At 55.0% G+C, this 12,094-nt stretch overlaps 1 protein-coding gene across 8 annotated transcripts in view, besides 3 other annotated features; it reads right to left on the reverse strand.

Annotated features, from left to right (window-relative positions):
• PPP2R3B (protein phosphatase 2 regulatory subunit B''beta) overlaps window positions 1-12,094 on the reverse strand; it is a 52,975-nt gene that overhangs the window by 22,048 nt on the left and 18,833 nt on the right. For 5 of the 8 annotated variants that reach the window (NM_013239.5, XM_047442728.1, XM_047442723.1 and 2 more), the window contains exon 2: window positions 5,425-5,610. In NM_013239.5, coding sequence (NP_037371.2) covers window positions 5,425-5,610 — 186 coding nt within the window. Of the gene's footprint in view, window positions 1-5,424; window positions 5,611-6,274; window positions 6,353-7,939; window positions 8,496-12,094 lie in introns of those variants that run through there. The other 3 variants (XM_047442726.1, XM_047442727.1, XM_047442725.1) reach the window with 2 other exon arrangements.
• Window positions 6,943-7,458: an enhancer, noted in NCBI's record as "H3K27ac-H3K4me1 hESC enhancer chrY:273658-274173 (GRCh37/hg19 assembly coordinates)". NCBI's record gives its function as "activates a minimal SCP1, AML or CMV promoter by ChIP-STARR-seq in primed H9 embryonic stem cells {active_cell/tissue: H9 hESC(primed)}" and the evidence as "EXISTENCE:reporter gene assay evidence [ECO:0000049][PMID:30033119]".
• Window positions 6,953-7,458: an enhancer, noted in NCBI's record as "H3K27ac-H3K4me1 hESC enhancer chrX:323668-324173 (GRCh37/hg19 assembly coordinates)". NCBI's record gives its function as "activates a minimal SCP1, AML or CMV promoter by ChIP-STARR-seq in primed H9 embryonic stem cells {active_cell/tissue: H9 hESC(primed)}" and the evidence as "EXISTENCE:reporter gene assay evidence [ECO:0000049][PMID:30033119]".
• Window positions 7,459-7,973: an enhancer, noted in NCBI's record as "H3K27ac-H3K4me1 hESC enhancer chrY:274174-274688 (GRCh37/hg19 assembly coordinates)". NCBI's record gives its function as "activates a minimal SCP1, AML or CMV promoter by ChIP-STARR-seq in primed H9 embryonic stem cells {active_cell/tissue: H9 hESC(primed)}" and the evidence as "EXISTENCE:reporter gene assay evidence [ECO:0000049][PMID:30033119]".

The raw sequence follows: 12,094 nt of genomic DNA on the forward strand, positions 1-12,094 counted from the left end.
ATCAGTTATATCTCAACACAGCTGCCCCAAAATGAAAAAAAGGCAAACTGATGAGAAAGAAACACGTAAGGTGGTCAACACGTACATCAGGGAAATGAGGAGTGCAGCCAGGACGGGACGCCTGCACACGCACAGAACGGCTAAAGGCAAAGCGTGTGGCCACGTGCCCGCAGGGGTCAACGCTGCTGCCTGGAAATGCGTCACTCAGGGCCACCCCGGAAGCAGGGTTTTTTGTTTTTTGTTTTTTTGCGTAGAGACACAGTCTTGCTCAGTCGCCCAGGCTGGAGTGCAGTGGTGCGATCTTGGCTCACTGCAACCTCCACCTCCCAGGTTCAAGCGATTTTCCTGTCTCAGCCTCCCGAGTAGCTGGAATGACAGGTGCCCGCCACCATACCTGGCTAATTTTTGTATTTTTAGTAGAGATGTGGTTTCATCATGTTGGCCAGGCTGGCCTCGAACTCCTGACCTCAGGTGATCTGCCTACCTCAGCCTCCCGAAGTGCTGGGATTAGTGGAGTGAGCCACCACTCCTGGGCCCTGGAAGCAGTTTTATAGCTTCTTACAAAACTAAACATGTGGCCACCAGATGAGGCAGAGCTCACCTCTGCGGTATTAATCACCTCAGGAAAATGCAAGCATGTCTGCGTAAATCAGTGCACAGACACACAGCAGCTTTACTCACAAGAAGCAAAAACCAAAGCAACCAGACGTCTATCAACCCTGGAACAGGGGAGAGATGGAGCACACACACAGCAGAAGCTACTCAGTGATAGAAAAGAAACTGCCCATACGGCCAGGGACACATAGTGAGCCCCACAGTATCCACACCCTGGCCAGCCACACGGGAGCCCCACGGTAACCACGCCTTGGCCAGCCACACAGCGAGCCCCACAGTATCCACACCCCGCCAGCCACACAGCGAGCCCCACGGTAACCACGCCTTCGCCAGCCACACAGCGAGCCCCACAGTATCCACACCACAGGACTTAATCAGTCCTCAACACACACACATAGCGAAACATCTTGCTGTACCCTGTATACACAAATATTACTTGTCCATTCAAAATAAAATTTAAAATAAAGATGCTGCCAGGAAGAAGTTAGAAACCACAGACAAAATGCTCCAAGAGTCCTCATGTGAAATTCTAAGAGAGGCAAAGCTACAGCGACCGGAAGCACATCTGCAGCTGGCCCGGGCCAGGGAGAAAAGAGGGGAATGATGAGGTGCAAAAGGAGGCACGTGGGACACCCGCGGCAGGTGACAAACGGCCGGTCCTGCCTATGAGGATGGATACCCAGGTGTGTGCTTTACCAAAATGGATCAAATTGTACACTTAAAATTGGTGAATCTTAGGGTGTGTAATTATATGACAATACAGCTGGCCAAACAAAAAACTATTCAATAAACTAAAAAAAATGACAGAAGGAAGTGTATGTAAAAAAGATGACCATAGATATTCATGAGAGAAAGAACTGAAATAATCTGTAACACTGACAGCTGCTTTACTGAAAGAGATATACGTTAGTGTGTAGCATGACGGATCAAGAAAGGAACCGGAAATAAATGATTCTGTCAAGAAAGTGTCTATGTATGATGCAGATACGATCAAGATTTTGTAAATCGTACAAGACAAGGAAAAGCTTTAGAGCAAGAAATTTCTAAGTTACGCAAAAAATTTTTAGAAAAAATGTAAATCATCAAAATAGTCTCCATAAATGAAAACCCTGAATTAGCCAACAACGTTTGAAGGAAATTAACAAAGAGAAAAGTGTGTTTTCCTGTGGGGGCAGCTGAGGGGGTGGAGTTTGGTGGAGGTGAAGGAGCTGATGACTCTGTCTCAAACGGCTTCAGAGAAAACACAGAGGAGTGACAATGATGAAAGGGAGGAAATGATGTATGAGATCAGCCCTGACTCACACAGACAGGAAGAACCGGGCCAGGAGAAGGCACACACGGACCTCGCTGCACGGCCACGGCTAAGATCCACGGGGGGACCCCCCTCATCAAACTCAAAGTCCCCTCAGACGTGAGTTCTCAAGCAGCCGCCGGCCAAAGTCCACCCGCCTGACAACACGCGTGTGGAGCTGTGACTCCAGGCCCTCATTCAGTCACTCACGCGACGGGGAGAACTCGAAACGGCAGTGACACCCCTACTCGTTCGTCCCCTGGGCCGGGGGCCCGGCTCACAGAAAACCGTCCCAAAGGCACACGATGGAGACGTGGACGGACATCTGCAGGTGGCGGCGAGCTGGGCGCCACCGAGACAGGCTCAGCAGCCTTGGCGGGGAAGCTGAAGTTTGCCTGCGGCCCCCACACACGCGGGACGCTCACAGGGTTCTGCCGCCACAGCGCAGGTGGATTAAGTCGCGACAGCGCACACCCTGCTGGCCTCTGCCCACAGTCACGGTGGGTGCTCGAGCACCATGCTCTCCGCCTGCAGGGCCGGGTCGGTGCGTGCAGGCACAGTGGGGCCTGTGGAGGTGTCTCTCGGACTCCCAGCGGTGCAGACGCTGCAAGCGACACAACTTCAGTCTCAGAGCTCTCCCCTGCCCCGCTGGGTCACACCCAGGTCACCCTGCTTCTCTGGGGCGTCGAAGACAACGACAAAACTTGCTTTTTACCACCAAACGTGACATCCAGCCAACGGACCAGGTTCTTTCAAGTCTTAAAGCCTCACTACCTTAGACGGCCACCAAGGCCAGTGCCGCTGTGCGTGGAAGCGAGGTGACACCGAGAACTGAGTCCTGGAAGGAAAATGACATGAAACGCGCACATGAGAACCAGGCGCCGAGGCGGGGAAGCACCGCGGAGGGGGGGTGGCCGCTGTGGGGGGCGGCACCACGGTGGGGGGAGGCGCCGTTGGGGAGAAGCACCGTGGGGATGAAGCACCGCGTGGGGAGGGGCGCTGTGGCGGGGAAGCACCGTGGGGACGGGCGCCCTGGCGGGGAAGCACCGCGGCGGGGGTAGGGGAGGGCGGGGCGGCGCCCTGGCGGGGAAGCACCGCGGCCGGGGAGGGGCATCGTGGCGGGGAAGCACTGAGGGGAATACATGGGTCCCATGCAGGAACCTCACTGGGCTGCGCGAGCGGCTTTGTAGGACCCGAAGCGGACGCAGCGCGTGAGCTGCAAAAGAGGTGTCTGACCCAGCCCGAGGCGCGCAGAGACCCTGTGGGTGGGGCCGGGCGCACTCCGCGAGGGTGAGTTCTCCACACAACGGAGGCTGTACTGAAAAGGATGAAGGTGTCCCAGCAGACGGAATGCCAGCAAAGAGACCTCCCAGTGAAGGAACTCTCAGAGATACCCCACAACTTCAAGAGCACCAAGGATAAAACGCGGAAGCTGAGCAAGGCGTGTTAAGTCGAGTGAGTCTGCCAGGGCACGGAGCAGGTGCTCACTCCACACGGGACAAGGAGATGGCACTGCTGTAACTACTTTTGGCAAGTTTTTACTGAGAGATGAAACAATTCTTAATGCTTCTGGTGTTTTAAGTTACAGCATACTAGGTAAATATTAGTTCTTTTCATTCACTACATGTTTGCAACCGACTGTAAGAAAGTTTCTAATATTTCAACAAAAATGATTATAGAATGATCCTAATTTTTACTGGAAGATGGTTTTGCATGGTTGTGACTTATCTGGTCCTTTCATGGCCCCACACTGCCGTACAAGACAGGGACACCTCTACAAATACGGAGTGACTTAGCAAAAACAAATATGCAAGTGTACAACAGCATGCTAATTTTTCTCTAAGAAATGCAAGAAGTATGTATGTTCATACTCATACACATATTTGTACATAATTGCTCATATTAAAAGCTAAAATAACAATAAGAGGATAAACCAAAGCTATGGAAACTATTACCTCTGGGGTAGAAACAGCACAGACAGGGACAGAACCTGGACTTACCTGAATGTGTCTAGTTTGTTAGTGCTCACTTTGTAACCATGGAGGTTTTTACATATTTATAAAACAAAACTTTTTAAAATACTTTAAAAACACAATCCCTAATAGAAAAAGGGCGGGGACACTTAATGTGTTCTTTCAGACCCGTATTGCCCTAAAACCAAAACCAGACAAAGGACTCACAAGAAAACTACCAAGCACTGTCTTCTCTGTGAATCCAGTTGCAAAATTATTGGAATCCAGCAACATATAAAAAAGATGAGACACAGCGACCATGCGGAATTTATCCCAGGAATGCAAGGTTGGTTTAACATCCCAAAACCAACTCATTTAATAGACTGTATTAATAAGTTAAAAAAACAAAACCCGGCCAGGTGCAGTGGCTCATGCCTGTAATCCCAGCACTTTGGGAGGCCGAGGCAGGCGGATCACTTGAAGTCAGGAGTTCAAGACCAGCCTGGCCAATATGGTGAAACCCCATGTCTACTAAAAATATAAAAATTAGCCAGGCATGGTGGTGCATGCCTATAGTCCCAGCTACTTGGGAGGCTGAGGCAGGAGAATCACTTGAACCCAGAAGGTGGAGGTTGCAGTGAGCCGAGATTACACCACTGCACTCCAGCCTGGGTGACAGAGCAAGACTTTGTCTCAAACAAGCAAACCCAAAAAACAAAAACCTGCTCACTCCCGAGGACCCCCTTCACAGCTGCAGAGCTGGAGAGGGCTGGGGGGCAGGGGTCTCACCGTGAGGGGCTCACATGTACCGTGCACCGAGGCTCTGGGGCTCTGACTTGGAGGGGTGGGAGCATCCACTGGCCAGCGACTCCACCTGGAGGGTAGGAGGCTGGAGATGCGGGCACAGGTCCCTGGAAACACAACCACCCACCAGGGGTCCAGACACGCATCTCTGGTGTAGGCCTTGCCTTGGTAACGGACAGACACTAAACTGAGTGTGCTCCATCTGTGGGCGTCCAGGCGGTCAGCCTGGAGAGCATGCAGCTGAGAAGGAAAGCAGGCGGCGAATGATGCACGCCGCGCCGCAGCACTCAGGGTGAGTCTAGAAATGGGCCCATGGGGCTGCTGCCAGGAGACGGGTCCACAGCTGCCCAGCCTGGGATGGCCGCTCCTCGGGCAGAAAGGGGCAAGGCCAGGAGGGTGCAGAACGGCCTCCGAGAGCCACGAGAGCTGGCGCCACTGGCCCCGGAGGGGAGAGAAGGGGAGGGTGGCACAGGGCGGGCCTGCGCTCTTCACAGCATCAGGATGAGAATGCAGACGGAATTCCCACTCGCATTTCAGATGCTTAAGAATTCACACAGCAGCAACCAGACAGCAAACCTCAGACCACAACTATAACCTCAGAGAAAACCTGGGCCGCTCCCGCACACGTGTGAAACGCACCCTCCTCGGCCGTGCCGCCTCACTCACGCTCGTGTGACACGCACCCACCACGGCCGCTCCGCCTCACCCTCACATGCCCGCAGTACCACCTCGGCTGCTCCACGTCCCACGCGTGACACGTACCTTGGCCACCAGGCCCATGTCATCCATGGTGGCCCTCTCGTGGGGGAACCGGGCGAAGGTGCTCTCGATCTTGCTGATGACGGCATCCACGTTGACGGAGTCCTGCGGGCGTCCTCTGGGGAAGTAGAAGGTCGGAATGCTTTGGCTCGTGGCCGGGGGCAGAGGCTCTTCTTTCCGTGTCTGAACCTGAAGAGTCGACAGACAGCGCTCAGTTAGAACCTGGGAGCATCGAACGCCTTCTTCACCCGGACAACACACGGGGCCTCTCTAGGGCCGACAGTGCTGAGGCCACCTGATCCCAGCCGGGAGAGGACACACTGCAATCCCTGCGGGGGACCACACACGTACTCCACTGCAGGGCCCACCTTCACCCAGGAGGCCACACCATGCTGCCATGGACCCCACTCTGGGTGGCGGCTCTGCGCCACTGAGCCCCCATCACACCGAGCAGGGCCCTGGGGACAAGGGCAGCTACGTGCCCCAGGCACCTGAGAGCCCAGCCAGGACCCACTCCCGATTCCCATGAGCCACACCACTGACCCCACCACACCTGGCAGGGACCTGGGGAAAAGGGCAGCCACGCACCCCAGACGCCTGAGAGCTCAGACGTGGAGAGGCACAGGTGCCGTCCACAGGCAACCCTGTCCCTGGAGCCCGGAAGACTCACATTCTGAGAGGCAGAGGCAGGGCAGGCAACCACACAGCCAGGAGAAGGGGTCGACCACCAGGTACTGCTGCGGACACGCCTCAGCCCCTCACCCGGTGCACAGCCCACGCCCACGGGCTCTTGGCCCCACTCAGCACCAGCACTCTCCTCACCCAGTATATCTGCAGGCCCCAGAACACTCACTCAAGAGTCTCCTGCTTGCATCTCTACACAACCTGCGAGGTGGACATTTGATCTCATCCCGTGATGTTAAAACACCATCTGAAACAGTTAACAGCATCAGCAACCGTACTGCGTCCTCCTCCATCAACTGCCCAAGGGACGGTGCTGCGTCCTCCCCCACCATCAACTACTGAAGGGACGGGGCTGCGTCCTCCTCCTCCTCCAACTACCCAGGGAACGGGGCTGTGTCCTTCCCCATCAACTACTCGGGACGAGGCTTCGTCCTCCCCCATCAACTACTCAGGGGACAGGGCTGTGTCCTCCTTGACCAACTACCTAGGGAATGGGGCTGCGTCCTCCTCCTCCTCCATCAACTACTCAGGGGACGGGGCTGTGTCCTCCTCAACCAACTGCCATGGAGGAGGGGTCCAGGGAGGAAGTCCGCATACCAGTGGACCACAGCTCAGGGCCTTTGCACCCACAATCCTGACTGCCTGGATCAATCCAGGACTGGGTCCAAGCTCCAGTGTCCACACAGAGAAAACAGCCCGCCCTGCTACTCCCACAGGACCCTCACCCCAGGTCACAAGGGTCCCACAGACAGCACCCCAACTGTCCCCACCCTGCTACTGCCACAGTATCCTCACCGCAGGTCACAAGGGTCCCACAGCGCCCCAACTGTCCCCACCCTGCTACTCCCACAGGACCCTCACCCCAGGTCACAAGGGTCCCACTGACAGCGCCTCAACTGTGCCCACCCTGCTGTCGCTGCAGGACCCTCACCCACGGTGAGACTCAGTTGTTTTTCTCTGATCCCCATGTAGGAGGAACAGAGGCCGCCTCCGTGACCTGGGGCAGAGCAGGCTTCCCGCAGTAGCTGCCGACTGAGTGCTCCTTCAGCACAGCTTTACCTAAGGGCACACCCCTTCCCTGTGATTCAGAACGTGACCTCTGTGTCCTGGGGCAGGAGGTCCCTGCATCTCCCCGAGCCCGCGATCCCACAGTGCATCTCCCCGAGCCCATGATCCCGCAGTGCATCTCCCCGAGCCCACGATCCCGCAGTGCATCTCCCCGAGCCCACCATCCCACAGTGCATCTCCCCGAGCCCACCATCCCGCAGTGCATCTCTCCGAGCCCACCATCCCACAGTGCATCTCCCCGAGCCCGCAATCCCACAGTGCATCTCCCCGAGCCCGCGATCCCACAATGCATCTCCCCGAGCCCACCATCCCACAATGCATCTCCCCGAGCCCAGCATCCCACAATGCATCTCCCCGAGCCCGCGATCCCGCAGTGCATCTCCCCGAGCCCGCGATCCCGCAGTGCATCTCCATGAGTCCACGATCCCACAATGCATCTCCCCGTGCCCGCAATCCCACAATGCATCTCCCCGAGCCCACCATCCCACAGTCATCTCCCTGTGCCCACCATCCCACAATGCATCTCCCCAAGCCCGCGATCCCACAGTGCATCTTCCCGAGCCCACAACGCATTCCCGCAGCGGCGCCTTCCCGTCTCTCGCTGTGGGGGTCCCACTGTGGAGCCTGCGGCTCTTCCTCCTTCATCACGCTGGGTTCACACAGCTCTGCTATTTGGGGTACGGAACTGACCCCGCGAATATTCTGCAGTGAGCTCTCGGGCTCCTGTGTTTGGCAATATAGCAATGACCTGGGTACACAAACCAACCTTCCTGATGAAAACTGCCAAGAACCCTGGACAGAATAGTTGACAAACGTCTTCTAGACGGCGCCCACAGGCTGGCAGGAAAGGAGGACACCTCAGGCCACAGCTGCCTGGAAGGAAGAACCCGGGGAAGCCCGTGGAGCCTGAACAGGCTCTGCCTTCAGAAGCGTGGGCCGAGCGGGCTCACCCGAAATCTCTCACAGCCTTGCAGAGCTCTGGGGAAGAGGAGGCAAAACGCAGGGTCCTCCGGGGAAGCTCCCAGAACGCGTCACCTTCAGTGGGAAGAATGAGCTCCAAGTAAATCCCCAGCGCGCCTCCGGCCCCAGGAATGAAAGTAGCAGCCTTCACCTGGAGCTGCTGGTACGAGCTGGGCAGGGGGGAGTTCTCCCCCGAGAACTGACGGCTACAGCCGACTCTCCTGCAGGTTTGCAAACCAAACTCACGGTCACCAGGATGCTGCGAAAACCCTCAAACCGGCCGGGCTCGTGCCTGCAATCCTGGCGCTTTGAAAGGAGGCTGAGGGGGACAGACTGTCTGAGCTGAGGAGTTCAAGACCAGCCTGGGCAACATGGCAAAACTTCATCTCTACTAAAAAAAAAAAAAACAAAAAAAAAAAAACAGAAAACAAAAAACAAAAAGAGTATAAAAAAAATTAGCCGGGTGTGGTGGAGGGTGCCTGTACTCCCAGCTACTCGGGAGGCTGAGGCAGGAGAATCGCTTCAACACAGGAGGCGGAGGTTGCAGTGAGCTGAGATCGCACCACTGCACTCCAGCCTGGGCGACAGAGTGAGACTCTGTCTCAAAACAAAACAAACGATTAACCAGGTGTGGTGGCGCATGCCTGTACTCCCAGCTACTCGGGAGGCTGAGGCAGGAGAATCGCTTCAACACAGGAGGCGGAGGTTGCAGTGAGCTGAGATCGCACCACTGCACTCCAGCCTGGGCGACAGAGTGAGACTCTGTCTCAAAACAAAACAAACGATTAACCAGGTGTGGTGGCGCATGCCTGTAATCCCAGCTACTGGAGAGGCTGAGGCAGGAGAATCGCTTCAACACAGGAGGCGGAGGTTGCAGTGAGCTGAGATCGCACCACTGCACTCCAGCCTGGGCGACAGAGTGAGACTCTGTCTCAAAACAAAACAAACGATTAACCAGGTGTGGTGGCGCATGCCTGTAATCCCAGCTACTTGAGAGGCTGAGGCAGGAGAATCGCTTCAACACAGGAGGCGGAGGTTGCAGTGAGCTGAGATCGCACTACTGCACTCCAGCCTGGGCGACAGAGTGAGACTCTGTCTCAAAACAAAACAAACGATTAACCAGGTGTGGTGGCGCATGCCTGTACTCCCAGCTACTCGAGAGGCTGAGGCAGGAGAATCGCTTCAACACAGGAGGCGGAGGGTGCAGTGAGCTGAGATCGCACCACTGCACTCCAGCCTGGGCGACAGAGTGAGACTCTGTCTCAAAACAAAACAAACGATTAACCAGGTGTGGTGGCGCATGCCTGTACTCCCAGCTACTCGAGAGGCTGAGGCAGGAGAATCGCTTCAACACAGGAGGCGGAGGTTGCAGTGAGCTGAGATCGCACTACTGCACTCCAGCCTGGGCGACAGAGTGAGACTCTGTCTCAAAACAAAACAAACGATTAACCAGGTGTGGTGGCGCATGCCTGTAATCCCAGCTACTCGGGAGGCTGAGGCAGGAGAATCGCTTCAACACAGGAGGCGGAGGTTGCAGTGAGCTGAGATCGCACTACTGCACTCCAGCCTGGGCGACAGAGTGAGACTCTGTCTCAAAACAAAACAAACGATTAACCAGGTGTGGTGGCGCATGCCTGTAATCCCAGCTACTGGAGAGGCTGAGGCAGGAGAATCGCTTCAACACAGGAGGCGGAGGTTGCAGTGAGCTGAGATCGCACCACTGCACTCCAGCCTGGGCGACAGAGTGAGACTCTGTCTCAAAACAAAACAAACGATTAACCAGGTGTGGTGGCGCATGCCTGTAATCCCAGCTACTCGGGAGGCTGAGGCAGGAGAATCGCTTCAACACAGGAGGCGGAGGTTGCAGTGAGCTGAGATCGCACCACTGCACTCCAGCCTGGGCGACAGAGTGAGACTCTGTCTCAAAACAAAACAAACGATTAACCAGGTGTGGTGGCACATGCCTGTAATCCCAGCTACTTGAGAGGCTGAGGCAGGAGAATCGCTTCAACACAGGAGGCAGAGGTTGCAGTGAGCTGAGATCGCACTACTGCACTCCAGCCTGGGCGACAGAGTGAGACTCTGTCTCAAAACAAAACAAACGATTAACCAGGTGTGGTGGCGCATGCCTGTACTCCCAGCTACTCGAGAGGCTGAGGCAGGAGAATCGCTTCAACACAGGAGGCGGAGGGTGCAGTGAGCTGAGATCGCACTACTGCACTCCAGCCTGGGCGACAGAGTGAGACTCTGTCTCAAAACAAAACAAACGATTAACCAGGTGTGGTGGAGGGTGCCTGTACTCCCAGCTACTCGAGAGGCTGAGGCAGGAGAATCGCTTCAACACAGGAGGCGGAGGGTGCAGTGAGCTGAGATCGCACTACTGCACTCCAGCCTGGGCGACAGAGTGAGACTCTGTCTCAAAACAAAACAAACGATTAACCAGGTGTGGTGGAGGGTGCCTGTACTCCCAGCTACTCGGGAGGCTGAGGCAGGAGAATCGCTTCAACACAGGAGGCAGAGGTTGCAGTGAGCTGAGATCGCACCACTGCACTCCAGCCTGGGCGACAGAGTGAGACTCTGTCTCAAAACAAAACAAACGATTAACCAGGTGTGGTGGCGCATGCCTGTAATCCCAGCTACTTGAGAGGCTGAGGCAGGAGAATCGCTTCAACACAGGAGGCAGAGGTTGCAGTGAGCTGAGATCGCACTACTGCACTCCAGCCTGGGCGACAGAGTGAGACTCTGTCTCAAAACAAAACAAACGATTAACCAGGTGTGGTGGCGCATGCCTGTAATCCCAGCTACTTGAGAGGCTGAGGCAGGAGAATCGCTTAAACCCGGGAGGCGGAGGGTGCGGTGAGCTGAGGTCGCACCACTGTCCTCCAGCCTGGGTGACAGAGTGAGACTCTGTCTCAAAAAAAAAAAAGTGAGATGAATACTTGGACATTTTTAGCCCCAAATTTACAGAGCATGCACCCCATTAACAGACACTCTACGGGGCAAAAGCTGAGGAAATGCAGCAGGGAGAAGCCAAGAGCTCCCAAAGGGAAGGTTGGAATTGAAAGAAGGGATGAAGAGCAGGTCAGCGGTAATGAGTGGGAAAACCTCGGCAGCTGACCACATAAATCAGTGATAACAATGTATGTTCAATTTAAAAAACATAAATCAGTGAAAACAACGTATGTTCAATTAAAAAAAAAAAGTCAATACAACAGCCTGTCAGTGACATGCTGACTGGATGAGTGTGAGACGGTTTGTGAGTTGGAGGAAAAGATACTGATTAATATTGGGCTTTGAAAAATTTAGTCGACGTTCCTTTTTTTTTTCTTTATAGAGACGGGGTCTCGCTATGTTGTGCTGGCTGGTCTTGAACTCCTGGCCTCCAGCGATTCTCCTGCCTCAGCCTCCCAAGGCGCTGGGATCACAGGTGTGAGGCCCCGTGCCCGGCCAGCCATTGACATTTGTAGGATAAACAGTGAGCTAGTAGGAAGCGTGTACTCCAAACGAGAGAAAAGGCGACCAAGCTGAAAAAGAGCAGGAGACAGAGGTGCAGGATGAGACGGTCACAGTCCATCACACGGATGAGCAGGCAACATCGACCTCAATGCACCGAGTGCTCTAGTTACAAGACAAAGGTCTGACTGCAGAAAGAAAACAGCATTCACGTACATGGGAGACACAGAGGACAGAAAGACAGGAGATATATGTGACTTAAGGACCCAGAGGCTACACATTTTTTTTTGAGATGGAAAAAGAGCAGGCAGACAGTAGAGAAAGCTGGTGTCGCTGTATTAACATCCATGAAGTGACACAAGGTGATGGACAGACCTGGAGACAGACAGGCCACCAAGGAACGCTGAAGAGGTCAGTCAGGGGAAGACAGGCTGATGCTAACTTTATCCATGCCTGACAACGCAGCCTCGGCACTGATCAAGTAAACACCACTGGACACAAACTGAGC

Source organism: Homo sapiens, chromosome Y (genome assembly GCF_000001405.40).
Source record: "Homo sapiens chromosome Y, GRCh38.p14 Primary Assembly".
Taxonomy (NCBI): domain Eukaryota; kingdom Metazoa; phylum Chordata; class Mammalia; order Primates; family Hominidae; genus Homo; species Homo sapiens.